Raw genomic sequence first — 22,378 nt, 5'->3', positions numbered from 1 at the left:
TCACCTGTTATATAGAACTATCTCATTTAAAATCCCTGCAAATGTACTGTTTCCAAAACACACTTATGATTACTTTAGGGTATACCTAAAAAATTAGGTAAGTGATTGCTTCTTAGCTTAAAGCACATAGCAGATAAGCACACAGTTGTGATTTCAATTTGTGCTGTCCTTAGATCATTAGTTTCTCTCCTTTTAGAGACAGATCATTTAAGACCAAACACTGGAGGAATATGTTAATTTTCATCTATTCATAGAAATATACATTTTAATTGGCTTGGCAATAACATTGAATTTAAAAACTTGAGCTGATATGGTAATATATCTTTAATTTTGATTTGTATACAGATTGACTGTATTTGATACTTTTATCTGCAGAAATATTTAAATATTTTTCTTCTAAAAGGGTAATTGGAATGAGTAAATCCATTAATCAAATATTAACATTTATTTAAAAAACTTTATTTTGCTTTAAAAAAACAATTATTCAATTCATGAAGATTAACCAAAATACAAACCCCATCAAAGTTTATTACAATAATCTTTCATAAAATAGCATTAAAAAAAGTTAATATTTTAATGTAAAAATCACAATGTAAAAATAAAAACTTTAGTTTTAGTGACTAAAATAAAAGCAGATAAATAATCTTCTTCACAGGGAAAAAATACTTGAGGGAAAAAACAATGGTATAACATGTGTAAAGCAGGAAATTTAAATATCAGCTTAGTTCCTCATTGCCAACATGGCATTTATATCCCAGATGAGATTTCGTAATTGATCCATAATTTGTTTCAGCTGTTGATTCTTCTGTTTGAGTTTCTGTAGAAACAAAAGAATTTATCAAAAATGTTTCAGGAAATATAGACCATGAAGTTAGAAGATTAAAATATCATAAGTTAGGATTATAATGATACAGACAGAAATTAAGCTAAATAACCCTATAAGGCAGATGGTCTCAACCCTCTTCTGGCCTTAAATATTTGCTGACAGGGATCCTGAATTCTAAAAATCCAGCCTGCAGAGGTCTATGGCCCCAGCCCCGGCCCCAGGCCCTGCTTACTCTTCCACTTCCACCATAAACAAATCAATAAATCAGCTAAACATTTATTTGTTATAAAACATAAGCATATAAGTTTTCTAAGGGGCAGCATAACCTAACGGTCAAGAGCCCATACTCTAGAGCCAGATCTCTGGAAGTCATTCAGATCCTTCACTACGAATTTTTTTTTTTTTTCCCAGGCTGCAGTGCAGTGGCGCAATCTTGGCTCACTGCAATCTCAGCCTCCTGGGTTTCAGCGATTCTCCTGCTTCAGCCTCCTGAGTAGCTAGAATTACAGGCTCCAGCCACCACACCCATCTAGTTTTTTTGTATTTTTAGTAGAGAGGAGGTTTTGCCATGTTGGCCAGGCTGGTCTCCTGACTTCAAGTGATCTGCCCGTCTTGGCCTCCCAAAGTGCTGGGATTACAGGCATGAGCCATCACACCCGGCCAGATCCTTCACTATGAAACTTACAACACTGACCTAATTATTTAACCTCCCGGTACTTTAGTTTCCACATCAGAAAAATGGAAATAATAATTGAAACTACCTCATAAGAGCTGTTATGAAGATTAAATGGTCTGATTCATGTCAAGTATTAGAATTGTGCCTGACACATAAGTAAACATTCAACAAATGTTACTGTTAGGCACAAAATGTAAACTGTCGATATAGAAAATATAATAAAAGTACAATGCCTCATGCAATCAGTCTTTCAAAAGTGCGGCAGAAATCACTGTTTGCCTATAGCATGAATTGCAATCTCCTTCTAATTCTAAAAACTGAAGACAAATGGCAGAGTACCCAATGCAATCTTCTCTACTAAGATTTGCTGAATGCCTGAAATGTGCACGGCATGTGTCTCTGTATCTCTACACTTGGATTCTACTTGACTAAGATTTGTAGACTTCTTTTTAACCATTCTTTCTTCAAATCCTATGTGGTAAATGTCTGCTTAGATAAAACAAGATAGAAATAGAGAACTTCTGGTCAGAGTGTTTACTAGTTATAATAACAATAATTATTATTATTCAATAACCCCTTGGAAACATTACATTTGGAGATAATATACTTAATTAATTTTAAGACACTATATTAAACTACCTCCAGATAAATTGGTGTATGCTTATTAAAAAGAGGCCTAACAATCTTACTTTTGATTTCATTAAAAAACAAACTAAAATGAAGTTGCTTGTATTGCTTCTATTCAGAGTTAGGGAAGTAACAAGAAATAGGTGGCTAAAAGGAAAGACCAAGAAACTCTTATTAGAAAATAGAAAATCAATTTACAGAGACTTTAATAATCTTTCATAACTGAATTTAATTCACATTTGAAAAGAGAACTAGCACAATGCAGTCAGAGAAAAACAGGACTATACAGTACACAGGGCTCGACTCTAAAGCTCACTTTAACACAGTCTTCGGGAAACAAAAACTGCTGGTATTTTTAGTTAGTCTCCCTTGCACAAGTTTTCAGATGACCCATCTTCTATATTCTGTTATCATAAGTAAGTGATAGTCTGTTATTTAAGTGGTTGTATATATCTAACAAAATTGATTCAAATTGCTGGGAAAGATGAAGAATAACCAAGCCTATAAAGTCTTTTTCATCACAGAGACCAAGAAACCAACACTTCTGCCAGCAATCAAGAGTAGCAGCAAAACAGAGGAATATAAAAGTGCTATATTGGGAGGCTGGCAATCTCGGTCCCAGTTCCAACTTTGCCTCTAACTTGGTATTTGATCTTAGATAAATTCCTTCTTCTTGGTTTTCTCATTTATGTAATTGGATTATAAAATCTAAGGTCTCTGCCAGTTGTACTTTCTGCATACCCATACATAAGATGACAATTGGTCATCTGGGTGGTTAAAAACAGACTTTATAATCAGTATCAACTCAGGGCTTGCAGCTGGCTATCACAATGGTCTCACCACTGAAATAAATGCATAACCTACCAATAAGACTACTCTCAAGAATCCTCATTTGGAAATATACATTCTGGTACTCTTTTTTATTTAAGCCTCGTAATTGTTTTTTAAAAAAGTAACAACTAAAATTTGTAGGGTATTTTCAAGATAATATTCAACACTGGGGAATAGAAAATTTTTAAATAATTAATATATTATAAGGCTCTTGGGATAGCGTTTCTCAAAGATGCCACAAAGTTTTAAATTAAAAAAATTAGCATACAAATAAAATATCCAGAGTCAAAACATGTCATGAAAATGATCAACAGCAAAGCTGACACTTATGCTTATTAGAGGCTAAAGTGTAAATAAATTTTCATGACACGATATAGGATTTAATATACACAGTCTTGCCACTGATTGATTTTAACAGACGTTGACAGCTGCTATTTTCAAAATCCATCAGCTGTGCCCAATTTTGTACATTAACAGGCGAATGTGTAAGTAGACTAAATACTTAAAAAAAGTTGATGCTAACTGATACCATGTAATGTAATATTCACACAAAAGCTGTGACACTTGACAAAAAATGGTTTACTTTCTAAATGCATGGACTCAATGCCAACCTTGTAAATACTACCTACTATCTTTTTCAATTTCATTTTACCATCAAGAAAAGAGCGTTAAGCAAAATAAAACTCATTCTGATGTCCCCAAAGCAAGCTTGTCCAACTGTGGCCCACAGGCCACATGTGGCCCCAGTCGGCTGTGAGTGCAGCCCAATACAAATTTGTAAGCTTTCTTAAAACATTATGAGATGTTTTTCGTGATTTTTTTATATTTTGGCTTCTCAGCTATCATTAATGTTAGTATAGTTTATATGTGGCCCAAAACAATTCTTCTTCTTACAATGTGGCCCAGGGAAGCCAAAAGATTGGACACCCCTGCACCTAAAGCATATGGTCTCAAACAAGTGTCCATCCTTTAAATGGGTATTTGGCTTAAGGATTCCAGGATATATTAAGAGAAAATGAAAAGTATTTAAATAAACCACGAATTTGACTATTAAAACCAGCCATATTGTCTTATGATGATTTACATCAAATACTGACTACAAATCATGTGCCTCAAAGTTTCATAGCACCAGGATAGTTATTGGTGGTTTTTGTATTGTTAGAAACCAGACAGACCATAACGACTAAATAGTAAACACACCATCAATATGTTCTTCTGCACAATTTCAAGTACACAATGATATGATAATATCTTGAAAATGACTGAGGGTCAGCTGAGGGGTATATAAATCTACTTATTTTAGGTAGCTTATTTAGAAAGAAAGAAAATATTCATTGTAATAAAATTCTGACTTTTTAATTGAATGCAAATAATATAATTTTATTATAAATTACACAGATCTATAAAGCAACTTATTTAATACAACCAAATGCCAATGTATTAAAAATATGGCACAATACTTTTGTTTCTGTAAATATTCATCAAAACATGAAATGGGTACATGAAACAGGTGCTGCTTTGTTTCCACTGGAGTCTTATGTTCTCCAAGAAGAAACTTGTCCACTCATGTGAAATGAGTATATAGCCGACAACACATCCAGCTGCTTCATGGAAGAAATTCTGGTACTGAGGACAATGCCTGTCAGAGAGCAGGCACACAAATATTTAAATATTTTCATGTTTGAAGAAAAAATAACAAAAGCCAAATCAAAAAGCTTCTCCCAAAACCTACAAGAATGGAAAAAAAATAAGCAAGCAAACAAAAATTATTGCCAATCATTTCAAAACTTATTTTTGTTTAAATAACTCCTCAGTATAAAAAAAAAAGACATTTAATAATGGCCATTATTAAAAACTATGCATTTTATACTCCATACCATAATAGGTAAGATGTATTTTCAATGTTTTAGTGTTACCAGCTAAGATTCCGTGAACTTTAAAACTCTATCACCTAGTAAATGCATGAACTAAAAAAAAAGCAAACCTATATTTACATAAGAATGTGGATTAACATAATTGACAGAGACAAAAACTTAAGTTTATGAATGTAGCTATTTATAAATAGTGGTCAAATCAAATCAGTGAACTTTATTTTTAATAGCATCTATGTGATTAAATAATCAAATCAGTACATTATCATCTATAGCCAGTTTTCACTACGAGAAACACCCTCGGGTGTGTGTGCCATTACGGAAAAAAAAAAAGATGTATCGGCTGGGTGCAGTAGCTCACGCCCGTAATCCCAGCACTTTGGGAGGCCGAGGCAGGTGATCACGACGTCAGGAGTTTGAGACCAGCCTGACCAACATGGTGAAACCCCATCTCTACTAAAAACACAAAAAAATTAGCCGGGCATGGTGGTGCACGCCTGTAACCCCAGCTACTCAGGAGACTGAGGCAGGAGAATTGCTTGAACCCAGTGAGCCGAGATCGTGCCACTGCACTCCAGCCTGGGTGACAGAGAGAGATTTTGTCTCTCAAAAAAAAAAAAAAAAAAAAAGTATCAATGGATCACGAGCTCAGTATTTTAAAAATTAAAACTTTTAATCATATATTTTAATCTTATATTCTAGAATGGAGACACAGAGCTTAAAGAAGTTGAGGAAAATAATAAAATAAAATTGTTTGAGGGAAACAATTATGTAGGTGGGTCCAGGAGAGAGAGGCTGTAGAGAGCTAAATCCTCATATGGAGAAAGTCCTTTTATACATCATATCCTTGTATCAATTATATCCTTTACTTAAAATCCACAAAACTCTATGTCAGTAGCTAGGGTTAACTGTAGGTAAGATTATTCTAGTAACAGAATATGCTACATTTAATTCACATTTATATATTTTTTTAAGGAATGAATTAAAAAGCCCTTTTGGTAAAAAAAAAAAAAAAAAACAATTTGTTTGCCTTTTAGCAGTTAATTTTATTTTCTTCTTCCTTATTTGGGATTTAAATTTAAGTTAACCAAATGTTAGCCCTCTCCCATCTTTTCCCTGTGCCCACCACCTAATCTTTCAGTGCTTTCTCAAAATATAGGTAGAAGAATTCATACAAAGAGAGTTATGAGGTCATCAAATGAGTTCTTCCCCATGATACTCAAGAAGGTACTTTACCTCTAAATTGTCTTTTAAAAAGCAATTCCCACAGAAATAGAGTTTAGCTTTAAACCTGGTTCATTTAAAACACCTAAACTGATTCTTTTCTCTTTGTAATAACCCATCAGTTTGATATCACGTTAACTAAAACATGTTTTATCCTGAAGTTAAAAGCACTTAGAACAGATCCAAGTCATTTAATCAAAGGAAGAGATCTCAATGTCAGAAGTAAAAATGGGGAAAAAAATTTAAAATACTTTCATTCCGTAAATATACACAAACTTTCAGAAACATTGTGTATCTATTGAGTGTGTGGCAGGAGAGGAATAAAAAAAGCTATAAACTGATGCAGAGAAAAGTGATCAGAAAGGACACAACAGCAGATGCAAGGTAAATTTTCAGATGAAAAGTAAAGAGGGAGTGGTCAGTGACTCAGAGAAGGCCTGGGCATGCAAGAGGGATGCCACCGAGAATACGCCTGATCCACCATGGAGAACCACAGACAGAGACCATCTCAGAGGCACCAGGTGAGCCCTGGGAATGAAAACTGGAGGAATGGTTAAAAGATTGACTATCTAGTAGTTTAAACAAAAAGTCTGCCAAACCCTATACTAGATTATGGAATGCCTTCAAATTTCTGAGGAAACATAACTTACAACATAGAATTTTATAGCCAGCCAAACTATCAACTGGACAAATATGTAAGGACTCAAAATTTAAGTGTCTGCATTCCTTCTAAAGAAGTCACTGATGTATGCACATCACCAACAAGGAAGAAAACCAAGAAAAGGGAAGACATGAGCTGAAGAAATAGTGAAACCAACAGAAGAGGTGAAGGAAAGCCCCAGAGCTGAAAAGCAGGCCTAGCCAGCATTCCATCCAGACCTATAAGACCATAGAAAACTTGGGAGGGTGGGATGAGAACCATGAAACTGTCTGATGATTCTGACTGTGGAAAATTGGAAAATAGTACTGAGATGTTGTCATAGATGCATAAAAAACTAACTAAAATTTTAGAAAATTAAAGAGGTAAGAATTAACTTCAGAAAAACAAAAAATTATTCAATCAAGGAAATATGACCCTAGTATACTATGCGGCTTAGCAATAAACAATACTTATGAAGCCATAATTATATGATACAGATTATTTACTGAACCCCAAATATGATATAAGTGCACTGAAAGGTTTGAGGGAAACAATTATGTAGGTGGGTCCAGGAGAGAGAGGCTGTAGGGAGCTAAATCCTCATGGGGAGAAAGAAGTCCTTTTATACATCATATCCTTGTTTCAATTATATCCTTTACTTAAAATCCACAAAACTCTATGTCAGTAGATAGTAAGATTTTTTTTTTTGGTTACATGCTGCCAAAGAATTACCATATTTTGATTATAAAAGAGAACTTTTAAAAGTCAAAGACATGTTATTTCTAAGTTATCAAATTGGGAAAAAAGAGAAACTTAATGAAAATTGAAGAGAAATGTAAATATAGAAAAAGTATCTTTCTGAATTTACACAGCTTTATTTTTTACAAAATATTATAAAATCCTCTATGGTACAGAACAAACTATGTTTACATTAGTTACACATGTGGTACTCTGAAACCAAAGTTATTATTATAATGGTGTTTTATTTATATACATATTTCATTATATTTTATAAAAAAATCATTAGAGAAACATAAGCAGAACACATTTATTGAGGTAATACATATTTATCAACAGAAACATATAACACGTCTTAATAAGTGAATGTCTCATACATCTAGACTACCAAACACCAGTTATTTTTCAAGATCTAAACTAAAAGTTCCCATTCTCCTCCTCACCCTCTACCAATTTTTTACTGTGAGTTTTTTATTATGATTGTCATGTATTACAATCAGATTTTTTGGAAATAGTTTTCTAAATGTGTGTTTCACCTTTTAAAAAAGTTACAAAATTTTATTTTATAAAATCTATCCATCTTTTTCCTTTCTTCCGAGTTTTAAAATACTTAAAAAATTATCCAATATTTTGTTTTGCAGGTCTTATTTTCAACTCTGAAATTCATTTTGATTTATGGTGTAATGTAAAAGCTAGCTTAATTTCGCCCCCAAAGTTTCTATTTCTAAAGACTAATTTTCCACACAAGCCCTCTTCTGTCATATTAAATTCTCATGTACAATAAGAAGGCTGTTTTTCTGGCTAGATTATTTTACTAATCTGCCTATTCTTGTGCCAGTATTATACACCTAATTACCATTTTTATAATATGCTTCATATTACAGTTTAATTTTTGAAGCTAAGAATTCTGCTTTATTAGTCGTATTTATCAACATTTTCTTTGATATTTTTGTATACTTTCAAGAAAAAAATTCCATTTGGGTTTTATTTGGATTTGTTTATTGATTGGTATTGCACTAAAATCCTATTGTTTTTGCATGCTTTCTTATTAGGATTTGGATTGTTACTGTATTAAAACTGTGAGTATTAAATCAAGACTGGTATTTTTATAATATGTATTGCTCATCCAAGAACTTTATATGTTCTTTTAATCATTCAAAGCTTCCTTTATGTATCTTAATAAGTTTATTCATACACATTATTGACATAATTCCTATCTACTTAATATTAATTGTTACAAGAGTCAATAGAATCTTATAATCTAATAGGTTTACAGCATTGTAAGAGCATGGTATCAGTCTTGTCTTAGACCCTTTTACGGAACTCTTATAGACTAGTTGTTCATCAGTTGAGTTTCTTTGACCATTCTAACAAGCTCATACATAGTAACTCCTGTTTCCCAACTGTCATTTGTCCACTGTCTTTTTGTACTGGCTATAACTTCTAAAATAATATTAAACATAGTGTTATAAAGTATCTTATTTCATGCTTGTTTTTAATAAGGATATTTCTATATTTCACCTTATGAAAAATGTTGGGTATTTATCTAAAAGAAAAAGATTTAAAAAAAAAACACACTGTCTTGCTAATAGTTTTAAGTGTCCTTTGAATCAGCAACAGTATTGAATTTTATCAGATGTCTTTTAGACATGTGAGAAAATCTTTTTTCAAGGTAGTTTACTGACATCATGTATTATACATACAAACTGAACTATAAAATCTTCATATACCTCAGAAGACTCTCTTTGGCAGTGGTGGATTATTAATACACTGATGAGTTCTATTAATTAGAATTAAGAATTTCAGGAAGGGGCAATCTATATTTGTCAGTGAAAGAGTGATGCTGAAAGTTTTATTCACTGTGCTATCTCTGGTAGGTTTTGCTAAGCTGGGGCCACATTTCCATCCCCAGAATGAACTGACACCTTTCCCTATTTCTCTCTGTTTCACGAGAACTATTTGAACATTATCTTCTGAACTTTTGAAAGTATTCAGCGATAAATACATTCCAGTTACAAGCTTTTTGTGGGGTTGGAGTAGATAATAATGCTGGGATAGTTCTCTAAATTTTTTATTCAGGTGTTGAGACATTCACATTTCATATTTGTAAATTTTTATCATTTGCTGCTCCAAATATGCTATAAGCTAGAAAGGTAGAATTCTGCCCAGAAAAGAAAAAAGTAAATGGATTGTGACTAAGTGTCTAAGGAGCTCTTCTAAGAGCTTTATCGAATGAATTTTGCAATTTCTCTTCTGACTATTCAGACAGCATTTCTGCTTACCTTTCATTTCTTGGCTGTATTCTAAATAGGTGAAGTTTGCCGCAGAAACAACTTCATGTAATTTGATAATTCAAATTATGTTTTGGAGTTACATCAGACTCCCTAGTAATTTTTATCAATAACTCTAAAACATAAAATGTAAAAACTAACAACTCACTTTATTTACTTCAGCAATTTCTCGCCTCTCTTCACTAGCAAAACGAGGTGGGCCAGCCCGATCATCATTCTTTGAGCCATCTTCTTCCACATATGGAATAAGTTGCTGGGAATGATTAACAAAAATTAAAAGGCAAAAATATAATTCAAGTTTTCTAATCACTTGTATAGAGAATATATCAGATTAAGGTCAATTTTTATACTTTTATTTGTATAAAAATAATTTCAATTCAGGTGATGGCCTGAAATAAGAGCTTTAATAGTTGACCATTTCAATGCATTCTATGCATTACCCTTTCAGGTTTCTTTTGCAAAACAGCCTTTATAACATTGGTTGTCATGTACAACTAAACAATACTTCCAGCAGGAAGATGGGAGAAGTAAAAAATAAAATAAAATAAAATAAAAATTTAAAAAAACCCTACTCAATCAGCAAATATTTAATTATGAAACACTATAAAAGTAATGCCAAACAAGATGTGATTCCTGCCCCTAAGAGATTTGTAGTCTATTGAGATAGATAAAACAGGCTTTCCTTCATCTGCAATAAAAAGAAAAGAACTTCACGGATCTGTATTATATAATTGTCATTAACTTGCAATCTAAAACTTCAGAGTCTATGCAAACTTCTAGATGTCTTAAGTTTTCGCAGTTGTGAGAACTTTTTCTTTGTAGGAGAAACAAATTTATATAGCAATGAAACTTCTAGCAGAATCGTAATTAAGTATGCATGGTTAGTGATGGAATTTACCGCATAAGTGTGGCAGACTTCAGGAATCACCTAGCCTTTACCATCGTGTATTACCAATGCAAGAATAGGCTAAAGGTAAATGACTGGTAAAACTAGGATTCACCTGATAAAACTTCTTCAAATTCTTGGGATATATATAAACTCACCCATGTCTACATTCTCCTTTTCTTTCTTTCATCTGTCTCAATGCAGAGCTGTCCTTCCTCCTGAAGACGATTAGTCTCCATTCCTGTGCCCTGATTACTCTGCCCTCCTGTCTTCATTATTTATACACCTTTCTCTCAACCTCTCCCTACAGCTTTCTTCCTTTATTATTCAAACATGTTCCTATCTCTTCTATTTGGAGGGAAGCTCCTCTTCCTCCTGCAAACCTTCGATTCCATCTCTCCTTCCATCTACTGCTTTCCTCTCTTATTTTTTTCAAAGCTTCTTGAAAGACTGATATCCACTTGCCGGCTCCAGCTTCTTATTTCCTGTTTAATCTTCACCCGACTAGGATCAGACTTCACGCTGCTATCATTTCACTGAAGCTCTACTCAAATATACCAACAATTTTCATCTAGCAAAATCTACTGGACAGTTTTCATTCCTTATTTTCCCTGACTTCTCTGTAGCATCTGACGATGTAGGCCACATTTCTGATCTTTCTCCCACATCTCTGACCCCTTCTTTTTAGGCATTTTTGCAGTTTAATTTTTCTCTGGTCATCTCTTACCAGCTTCCTTTGGTGGCAGAGATATAATTTGTCAACAGGAAAGGGTGACTTATAGAAATATATGCCTAATTAACTAAATAGGTATGACCCAAGATTAAATTTAGAGAATATATTTTTAAAATATAGTGATTCCACTGGGCTAAATATAAAATCCAAATTAATAATAATAAAAATAATATTTTATCTGTAAAGTACTTCATGAAAACCACCTTAAAAGTATATGATACTATTAAAATTCCTACTAAAAATATCCCTGACTTAATTAAAAGGAGACACTGACAGCAATAAAAATTGCCATAGGAAAACATTTCTTCCTAACAACAACAAAAATTACTATAAGCCTGTCAAAGTCTACAAGAAATTGTTAATGTAAAAATATAGTAGTATTTTATGCATATATATCACATTTTCATCTTCTCTGGTCAAAAGTAAAACCAATAAAATTCGAAACCTGGAAATATTGCTAAAACAGGAGAGAGAGGAAAAAGATTAACAACTGTCTTGACACTAGTTCACACCTTATATTCATCCTCCCTCTATCACAAAAAATTACCTCGACTGGAATGGGATCCATCCCACCACAGTTTTCATTGCATTTGTCATATACCAATCTCAGCTTCCTGAAGAGAACTGAAAGTTGGCGAAGATTATCCTGTAGCTTTGTTAACCGGTCTTGATATGTTCCAGTGTGGTAAGTGACACCATTTGGCAGCTTATCAGGAAAAACAAAGAATAAAAATATCAAGTAATGAAAAAAAAATCAAGATTTTCTATAAGTAAAGCCAACAAACAGAAACAATTTTTAGGCAATGCATAGACATAAGCTGTCCCTCACAACTGATCAAGTTTAATTTTAAGAATTTAAGAGCAATGCATGCCCATTTATTAACAACTTGGCATACCTGTTTCACTGCTATAAAACAGACCTAGAAAAACTTTGTGATAAACCCTCTGACTTGAAATACTTTTTCCCCTTTAATTTTTGAAGTGTAACTTTAAAAAAAAATTTACAATTTTAATATTACTATTATATAAATGCAGCATGCTGCTGACCTCAACCAAGAAGTTAAAAACAAAGTACAGTTTAAAAAAAAAAGTGAATCTGATGATATTTTAGTGGAAGAAAATGAAGAATATATGGCTGGTATTGCAAAAATATTCTCAAAATGCCTTAACTCTGATAAGATAATTAAGATGCTTAAGGCATACATTAAAATATAAACCTGTCATTTAAAGTTTTACTTAAAAAAATCAATAGCAGGAGATATGGGTGCCATCTATACTTGAACACCATTAATAAATTATTACAAGTAACTGCTATGATCATAACTCTGCCTTAGATATGGATATATTTTTAATTCAGGAATTTTATCAAAAGAAGAAAAGTATATATTGAAATAATAAAATGACAGGTAAACAAAAATCGACTATTTATTTAGAATTTATAACTAAATATGTACTTTGCATTGCTGAAACTCATGAACAAAATCTTTCTCTGTACAGCTGTACAATATTTTATTCCCACAATCTGATCTGTGTCATCACCCTAATACTTGAATCAATACTATTTACACAGTACCACGTTTTCTAGTATTCGGGCATTTTCATTTGTAGGAATTCACATGTATAATAGCTAGGTGATCAGTCCAGTCTTTCCAAGCCTCAGTTTGCATTTTTTTCTTTTTTAAACACATGAGGTAGGAATGCCAAAAAAAAAAAAAAAAAAGAAAGAAAAAAAGAAAAGCATGATACAATGTTTGGAGTGAAAAGTAAACAGGACATATAATGATTAAAACCATAAACATGAAAAAAGACTGGAAAGCCCTATACATAGTTGATAAAAGATGTGTAAGATAAATAGGCTTGAATAATTTATTTTCTTCTTTTCTCATACTTCTAAATTTCCAGTACTGTTATGGTTTACAAGTTAAGGAGATGGATCTCCTGAAATTATTTGAAGTGTGATATTATTAGGAGTTTCAGAAATTCTCAAGCATTAAAACAGTCTACAATGCCTCAAAGCAATGTGATAAAATATCAAAGGCTGAACTAGTCAAAACATTTTAAAGGAGAAAGGCATTAAGGGTTCATTTCTCAGTACAATGTAAGATTTCTCCTCCTGAACTCTCAGTTTATGAAATTCCACAGACACTAACTAGAAATTCAGAGAAAAGTTTAAGTGGATCCTTGCTTTCTTGTTTAGGTGACAGAAAGGAGCATGATGATTATGTCTTGCCTAGAACAGCACTCTGTACCTTTATTATGGCATTATGGGGTTTAATACTTTGCCCATATTTTCTACTTAGTAAAGACTGGAACTTAGGTTCATATCACCATATTGAGCATAGTGCACACATACAGAAGGCTTTAAAGTACAGTGTGAATTATTTTACTTAAGCGAGTTATTTTACCCATAAATCTATACTTAAAATTTATTAAGATGTATTATGTAAAAGAACTCTTGATAAATACTGTCATAAAGAAAACAAAAATCCTTTTGAAATGCCAAGAATCACACTCCCCAAATTTGCTGACTTAGAAAGATATTAGATGTTAAATCTAAGATCCAAACTTACTAACTTAACTTACTAAATCATTAAAAAGAAAAAATACCACACACGTTTCATGTGTCAGCACTGTTCTAGAAGCTAGGATAGAGCAGTAAACATCAGAGAGACAAGGTTTCCATAGTACAGAGTATACACGGTAAAAATGCCTAAGATCCCTTGGTATATACCACGGTGTAGCTGTTCAGCTGAAAAGCTCATCAATAACCATCTCACTCATGAGTATGGATGAAAACCCATAAATACATGATCGTATCCATAGACACCAAGAAGGCATTCAACTAAATTCAACACCCATTTAAAAAATCAATATAAAACTCAATAAAAAATCCTCAATATGTGACAACATACATTTATTTCAGTTAAAGAGTCAGCACTATGATTAATGTGGAATCATTAGAAGCATTCCAACTAAGATCAGAAACAGAAAAGGATGTCTACTAAGACCCTAATTCTGTAAGTGAACACTGTTCTGGAAGCACTAGCCAATGCAATTAGAGAAGAAAGAGAAAAAAATGTTGAAACATTAAAAAGAAAGCATCATAATCTATTTACAAATAATATGATAAAGTGCTACTAAAAATAAAAGAATTCAATAAGGAAGTAGGTCCAAAGAGAAAGCAATAGCTCTGTTTTCATCTATAACACAAACAAAAACATGGGAAAAGAAGACCCCATTTACAATGGCAACAGAAAAGATAAAATACCTAGAAAAAAACTTTTAAAATCTCAAGATAAAAATGAAAACTTAAGATACCTTATAGGAAAACAGAAAAAGAATACTGCATGTTCTTGGTTAGTAAGAGTCAACATCATAATGATGTCAAGTCTTTCTAGGCCGAACGGACCTAATAAAAATGCTAACAGGCTTTTTCTTAGAATAAGCTGATTCTAAAATACATGTGGAAAAATAAGCAAGAATAGCCAGGGAAATTCTGAAAAATAAGTGTAACACATTTAGATCCTGACAAATTAAAAGAATGTTTTGCATTAATACATAAAAGATAGGCAGCTACGTGGAATAGAATAGAACATCCAGAAACAAATTCACTTATATAAAAGCTACCTGAAATCACTGGAAGAAGCAAGTGAATTATTCAGTGAACCTTTTGAAAAAGTTAAGGCTAGGCCCAGACCTCACATTTTATAGGATAAATTCCATAAGGATCACAGTTTTAAATGTAAAGGCTGAAATTTTAAAAATTATAGAATTCTTCCTAATTTGAGTGGGGAAGACCTTTCTAACTAGGCATAAGGCCTAGAAGTCCTAAAAGACTAATACATTCAACTACTTAAAAAAAATGCATGGCAAAACTACCATTAGCAGAGCCAAAAGGTAAAAGACAGGGAAAAAAATAACTTTAAGTTGTATCACACAGAGCAGGTTTCTCTAGTATGTAAATAGCTAAATCCTACAATTAAGGTAGGTAAAAAAGATGAAAAAAAAAAAAAGACAGACAAATGGGTGAATAATAAGTGAACAAGCATTTAGCAGGAAAAAAATATAAATAATTAAAATATTTTAAGAGATGTTCAAACTCAGTCAAACTAGGAGAAATGTAAAGTAGAATTTTCACCTATCAAGTGATCAAAGATCCAAAAAAGCTATAACTCACTGTGCTGGTCTTAGGCCGTAGCATAAATTAGTTCAATCTCTGTGGAGGACAATTCATCAAAATGTATCTAATTACAAAAGCACATAGCTATTTCTAAAAACGTATCCGACAGGTATACGTGCAAATTTGTGTAGGAGGTTATTTGGTGCAGCCTAACAGGGAAAGATGAAAAACAGCCAAATGCCCTCACTAGAGAACTGGTTTAATAAATTACAGTATTTCCATGCAGTGTAAACTATACACTATAAAAAGGATAAGGGAGTATTTTCTGTATGGGTATGAATAAATTCCAAAATATATCAACTGAAAAAAGCAAGGTACAAAATGGTTGTGTATAATATACTATTATCTGTGCAAAAAAGGCGAAAATGAAACAATATACATAAACATTTGCTTAATATGCAGAGAATATCTGGAAAGATACACAAAAATAGTAAGAATCAGTCACAATCACTGCCTGTGGAGAGGAGTTAGGTACATAGTATAAGAGATAGGAATGGGAAGGAAAATGTTCACTGCACTGTCCTTTTTTATTCCTAAATTCTGAATGTACTATGTATTTTAAAAATTAAAGATTCAAAGAATAATAAACAGAACAAAAGCAATGGTATCTTCCACAAGGACTCTTAATCTGAGATTTAAGGATACTTGGGGAGTATCCCTAAATCTTCCTTTAACCCCTGAAATTTTCAAAATGTATGTGTATTTTTCTCAGAAGAGAGCTCACAGTTTTCATCAGACTCTCAAGTGGCTAACGGACATCTAGTGTATACCAGGAACCACTTCTTTAAAACAAATGCTTAGAAAAATTCTTAGCAGTTTGTATTCACAGCACTTTACTCTCGTAGATCAATAATACAGACGATTACTTTAAAATGTGAATACTAAAAATGTATTAACAAATCACTAGGTTATATATAGTTAAGAATATCCTATTTCTATCACCTCTTCTAGTTTTTTTGGAAATGAAGGAGCCCATTGTTATCTTTTCAGCCAATTATGATAGGCCCCAAAGGGTCCTGGATGAGTGATCACAGATTTCACAAAATGAAAAGCACACATATAATTATCATAGTCCCTCAAAAGCTGGCTTTGGGTCCCAGACCCTACAGTGGCCGAAATGTTGAAGCTTAAGAAGAAACGTATTGCCATTTATGAACTCCTTTTTCTTGAGACAGAGTCTCGCTCTGTCGCCCAGCCTGGAGTGCAGTGGCGCGATCTCTCGGCTCACTGCCACCTCCGCCTCCCGGGTTCAAGCGATTCTCCTGCCCCAGCCTCCCGAGTAGCTGGGATTACAGGCGCCCGCCACCACGCCCGGCTAATTTTTGTATTTTTAGTAGAGATGGGGTTTCACCATGTTGGCTAGGCTGGTCTCGAATTCCTGACCTCGTGATCCGCCCACCTCGGCCTCTCAAAGTGCTGGGATTACAGGCGTGAGCCACCGCGCCTAGCCTATGAACTCCTTTTTAAGGAGGGAATCATGGTGGCCAAGGAGGATTCCACATGCCTAAGCACCCGGAGCTGGCAGACAAGAATGTGTCCAACCTTCATGTCATGAAGGCCATGCAGTTTCTCAAGTCCTGAGGCTACGTGAAGGAACAGTTTGCCTGGAGACATTTCTACTGGTACCTTACCAATGAGGGTATCCAGTATCTCTGTGATTACCTTCATCTGCCCCCGGAGATTGTTCCTGCCACCCTACGCCGCAGCCGTCCAGAGACTGGCAGGCCTCAGCCTAAAGGTCTGGAGGGTGAGCGACCTGCAAGACTCACAAGAGGGGAAGCCGACAGAGATACCTACAGACGGAGTGCTGTGCCCCCTGGTGCCGACAAGAAAGCCGAGACTGGGGCTGGGTCAACAACCGAATTCCAGTTTAGAGGCGGATTTGGTCGTGGACATGGTCAGCCACCTCAGTAAAATTGGAGAGGATTATTTTGCATTGAATAAACTTACAGACAAAAAAAAAAAACTTAAAAAAAAAAAAGTTGGCTTTGAATGCAGGTCCACATGTAATCTAGTTATTGATAAAATACTTTTTTTGAAAAAGTTTAGTTCTGCGTAGAACATGAACCTGTATTATATCTTTTAATAATGTACATTGACAGCAAGTTAGTATTAAAAAGAGGTTAGTAGGAAGAGCTATTAGTCGTGTGTGATGTTGGGTAATTTATTTTTTCTCTCATTAAGCCTCAGTTTCCTTTACTGTAAAATAGGGATAAAAATACTCCTTAAAACTGCTCCTATAACAGGGTACCTGACCAAGGAAAGTACTTCGTAAGTGTTAGGTATTATTCGGTGCTTTGCATATAACAGGACAAAATTTTTTTTAAAGTATGCTAAATTCTGAGACATTATTTAATCCGTACTTTATTCATTCTAGATATGAATCTATTCATTTTTTTAAATTATTGCCAAAGAATGTCATAATTTCTCCTGGATCTCCTTTGTACTATATTTCACATGGTCTTAAAAATTTCCACGAAACTGAATTACTCTTATAATCAGGACGAAAAAAAAAGTCTTGACCAGTTAAAAAAAAAAAAAGCAATAAAACACTTTTTTGGACACCCACAGAAATAAGAGCTGTAAGATTTTTGAAAACTTGGTTTCAAATTTACCCTACCACTGACTAGGTTTGGGCAAGTCACTTTATCTCTCTGAAGTACAGAATCTTCATCTGTAAAACAAAAATAATATCTACTACATGTAGTGGGTAATATAAGCAAGCATTAAAAATGGGTCAGCAAAATGGTGCTGGAACAACTGGATATCCAAATGCAAAACAATGAACTTGGATCCGTATCTGCCACTATGTATACATATTTAAAAACTCACAAAACTAAATATAGGTTGTAGACCTAAATATAAAGCTTGAAAGTACAAAACTTCTAGAAGAAAACAGAAACCCTTTGTCACCTTGGGTTAGGCAAAGATTTCTTAGGTATGACAGCAAAACCAAAATCTATAAAAGAACAAATCAGTAAGCTGGATTCCATCAAAATTTAAAATGTCTGTTCTTCAAAAGACAGTATTAAGAGAATAAAAAGGCAGGATAGACTGGGAGAAGTATTTGGAAAGCATCAAGACATAACAGGTGTTGATGAGGATGAGGAGAAACTAGAACCCTCAAACAGCAATGTTTACATTCCCACTAGCAATAATCGGGACGTAAAATGGCTCAGGCCACTTTGGAAAAGTTTCTTAAAGTATTAAACAGACATGTACTGCATGATCCAGCAATTCCACTCCTGAATCTGTCCAAGAGAAATGACACATACGTTCACACAAAAATTTGTCAGCAAAAGTTCATAGCAGCATTATTTACAACAGCCAAAAAGTGGAAACAACCCAAATGTCCATCAACAGAAGAAAAGGTAGGCAAATGGTGATACATGGATACAATGGAACATTACTCAGCAATAAAAAGGAAATTATTGATGCATTCTTAGTGAAGGATCTCAGACAAAAAAAAAAGCCCACATACTGTAGACTCCGTTTATATAAAACCCTAGCAAATGCAAATTAATTTATGATTACAGAACGCAGATCAATGGTTGCTTAGCGATGGAAGGTGGGAAGCAAAGATGTCAGAGGGGTATGAAGAAACTTTCTGGGATGATGTGTACACTATTTTGATTGTGGTGATAATTTCACAAGTATACAGACTACAGTACACATATATATCAAAACTTTAGGTGAGTGTAGTTTACTGTATATTAACTATGCCAAAAAAAGGAGGACTGTTTTTTTAAAAAAAATGTAAATTCTTCAACTCCTTGGACCTCCCCAGAAGAAATGCTGGAAAAAACATTTAAAGCAACCTAAAGAGGGAAGTGGAGTGCGACCCATCTCTGCCTTGAAAGGTGCAAGAGTTTACAGAGTAACTAAAGAGCTCGATTGAATCTAAAAAAAATTGGCTTCAATTCTGCAGAAATCTGGTCTGGAAAACATCACCTCTACAAATCCGACTTTTGGGGACACTCTTGAGTGTGAATGGGGGAGACCCTACACCTAAGGTTTGCCCAGGGCAGCCCCGATGACATCCACGGGCCCCACGTAAAGAGGAAACCAGAGGCCCTTTCCCTCCCAGCTGCATCCCCCTGGCCTCGCGCGCCCGCCTTCCTACCTGCATGTTCCTCAGGAGCTGGAAGATCTCCATGGTGCGGTACACGATGTCCTGCACTGTCTCCTGCCCGATGCGGCACAGCGACGCCGTGTTGACTTCCCGGGCGGCCTGCTGAGCCTGGGGCCCGGCGAAGGGCCCGGGCGCCATCCCCGACGCGGCCAACGGAGGGGTGGACATGGCGCGGCTGCAGCTTCAGGCCGGAAGGGGCCAGACAGCAGGTGTCAGGGGTCTGCCCGGAATTGGGAGGCTGTGGGGCCTCAGCGTTGGAACCAGCTTGAGAGACCCCCCGCGGCCCGATTTCAAAACAGCGGCCGCGACTTCCGCCCACTGTGACGTAACACGTCAGAAAACGTCATAGACACCGCCCACTCGGCGAACTGTCTCCGAGCGGAGCCGGGCTGGATTGGATTGGACCCCTGGGCGGGAAAGGACGGACGGGTTAAGTAGCCAATCACCAATTGCGCTCCAGCCAGAGGGGCGATGTTCTTGGGGAGCCTGGGGTGAGTTCCCAGAGTTCGTTTCCCAGTCTTGGCTCAGCGTTAGAACCTTCTGTGTTTAGTTCCTTGCGGAGCATTTTCTCTTAACAAGCCTGAGGTTTGTAGTATAACAGCTAAGAGACAGGTTAAAGTACTTGTTGAGTCGCATACAGGTGTAACTGGCAACCTGCGATTCGAATTCAGAAAACAAGATTCCTAAGCTTGTACGCTTCTCTGTGACATGATACGGACTCCCCGATTGCTCTTGGTCCCTGCTCAGATGTTTTATTCTTTGAGTTTTCCCAGTATCTGTAAGCAAAAAAAATGATCAACACACACACTTCTTTCTGACTCTGGCTCTTATTAGTGTCTGATTTTTTTTTCTTTTTCTTTTTGAGATGGAGTCTCGCTCTGTCACCCAGGCTGGAGTGCAGTGGCGCGACCTCGGCTCACTGCAAGCTCCGCCTCCCGGGTTCACACCATTCTCCAGCCTCGGCCTCCCGAGTAGCTGGGACTACAGGCGCCCGCCACCACGCCCGACAAATTTTTTGTATTTTTAGTAGAGACGGGGTTTCACCGTGTTAGCCGGGATGGTCTCGATCTCCTGACCTCGTGATCCGCCCGCCTCGGCCTCCCAAAGTGCTGGGATTACAGGCATAAGCCACCGCGCCCGGCCTACTGTCTGATATTTTATATAGCTTTCAGTTTGTTTACTTTCAGACTTTATCTCACCCTATCTACACACACTGCCAACTCCATGAAAACAGACTATTTTATTCACTTATTCTCAACACCTAGTGATTGGCACAAGTATCAATAAATACTTATTGAATGATTGTTGAGTGACATGATAAATGCAAGAGAAATTAAAATGTCTCTCACAATGTCTCTCACTTACTGTTCATCTCCAAAGTGGGGAAAAGTGAAGAATGTAAAATTAGTGATAGGCACAAACATTGCATTTTTTAGAAGTATCTGAATGCTCCATTGTACGGACTTTCCAGGAAATAGTTACTAAATATGTCATAGGAACCCTGGTAGAGATTTTAAACATAGTAATTCGCAGGTCTTCGGTAATTACCATTCGACAAATATTGGCTGAGCACCTATTATGTGCTGGGTGCTAGGAGTGAAGATAGCGTACTGAACAAACCAGGCAAAAGCCCTGCAGCATGTTTGTCATGGGGACAAACAGAACACTATTGTGATGAGCGTCTTGAAGCAAAAGTTCCTGATATCAGGGTGCTAACAATTTAGGAGATTGAGAACGACCTGAAGGGAGCAGTGTGGAACCTGAAGGTGGATAGGGAAGGGAGTAACGAATGATAGAGTCTTTTCTATGAGGACGAGGAAGGCCAGTGCCAACACCTGAAGTGAAGAGGCCTCCTAATGCTTTCTAGGATCTGGAAGAAGTTCAGTGTGAGGACGAGTGTTAGGAAATAAGGCTGAAGACAGAGGCAACCCTGGAGGATCTTCTAACCCATGTCAAGCAGTTGAGAATTTATGGAGTGAAATAGCAAGCCATTGAAGAGTTTCAAGGTGAGAGGAATAATTTGAAATATTCATTTTAGAACACTTATTCTGGTTGCTAAATGGGGAACAGATGGTGGGTTTCTATTGTCTTCTCTCCCAAAGGGGAATGATGATGATGATCATGACCTGTGCAGAGAAAGGAGACAGAGGGTAACTTTGAATAAATATTTAGTAAGTAGAATCTAGAGAACTTGATAGTAACTGGATCAGGAACATTAAGGAGAGGAAAGAATTAAGGATGGCACGTATTTCTGCTTTCATGTGAAACTTCAGGTGAAGTTTATGTCATTTACCAAGACAGGATACACTGAAGAAAAAATAAGTTTCCGAGAAATTATGCCTTATGTTAATTTCCTATTGCACATGTAACAAATTACCACAAACTTTGTGGCTTAAAACAGCACACCTTTTATTATTTTATAGCTTTTTAGCTCAGAAGTCTGAAATTGTTCTCGCTGAACTACGCTCAAGGTGTTGGCGGGCTGTGTTCCCTTCTGGGGGCTCTCAGAAGGAATCTGTTTCCTTGTCTTTTCCAGATTTTAGAAGGCTGCCGCAATTGCTTGGCTCATGACCACTTCCACCAACTGCAAAAACCAGCTTTCATCCTTTTCAAAGCCAGAATTGGCTAGTTGAATATGCCATATCTCTGGTTCTGAGTCCTCTGCCTCTCTTTCATTTAAGTATCATTTTGATTACATCGGGTCCACCTAGATAATCCAGGAT

The 22,378-nt window shown here is 35.5% G+C and overlaps 1 protein-coding gene, 1 long non-coding RNA gene and 1 pseudogene across 10 annotated transcripts in view; 2 read left to right on the top strand and 1 right to left on the bottom strand.

The window, feature by feature from the left end:
* Positions 1–437: 437 nt before the first annotated feature.
* MED30 (mediator complex subunit 30) lies at positions 438–19,987 on the bottom strand. Of its 3 annotated transcripts, none has more exons than NM_080651.4 (4): positions 19,647–19,987; positions 11,891–12,049; positions 9,873–9,977; positions 438–817 (listed from the first exon to the last, which is right to left on the bottom strand). In NM_080651.4, the coding sequence occupies exons 1-4, from the start codon at positions 19,821–19,823 to the stop codon at positions 722–724; spliced, it is 537 nt and encodes a 178-aa protein (NP_542382.1). In that variant the 5' UTR covers positions 19,824–19,987; the 3' UTR covers positions 438–721. The 3 variants fall into 3 exon arrangements, with proteins under 3 accessions (NP_542382.1, NP_001269915.1, NP_001350111.1); NM_001363182.2 differs by lacking the exon at positions 438–817 and adding an exon at positions 2,339–4,599; NM_001282986.2 differs by lacking the exon at positions 9,873–9,977.
* RPS10P16 (ribosomal protein S10 pseudogene 16) lies at positions 16,974–17,483 on the top strand (annotated as a pseudogene).
* Positions 19,980–22,378, top strand: part of LOC105375716 (uncharacterized) — a 436,284-nt gene continuing 433,885 nt past the window's right edge. For 6 of the 7 annotated variants that reach the window (XR_007061067.1, XR_928569.3, XR_007061068.1 and 3 more), the window contains exons 1-2: positions 19,980–20,146; positions 21,523–21,661. This is a non-coding gene — a long non-coding RNA (uncharacterized LOC105375716). The other variant, XR_928568.4, reaches the window with a different exon arrangement.

Source organism: Homo sapiens, chromosome 8 (assembly GCF_000001405.40).
Source record: "Homo sapiens chromosome 8, GRCh38.p14 Primary Assembly".
NCBI classification, from domain to species: Eukaryota; Metazoa; Chordata; class Mammalia; order Primates; family Hominidae; genus Homo; species Homo sapiens.
The sequence above is the reverse complement of the archived record's forward strand: the minus strand, read 5'-3'. Positions and strand labels throughout refer to the sequence as shown.

Coding starts and splice junctions, on each gene's coding strand:
- MED30 (NM_080651.4), bottom strand. CDS start 19,823: ATGTCCACCCCTCCGTTGGCCGCGTCGGGGATGGCGCCCGGGCCCTTC. Junction 12,050..19,646: donor AGCTCCTGAGGAACATGCAG/GTAGGAAGGCGG, acceptor TTTCCTGATAAG/CTGCCAAATGGTGTCACTTA. Junction 818..9,872: donor AAATTGCTGAAGTAAATAAA/GTGAGTTGTTAG, acceptor TTGTTTCTACAG/AAACTCAAACAGAAGAATCA.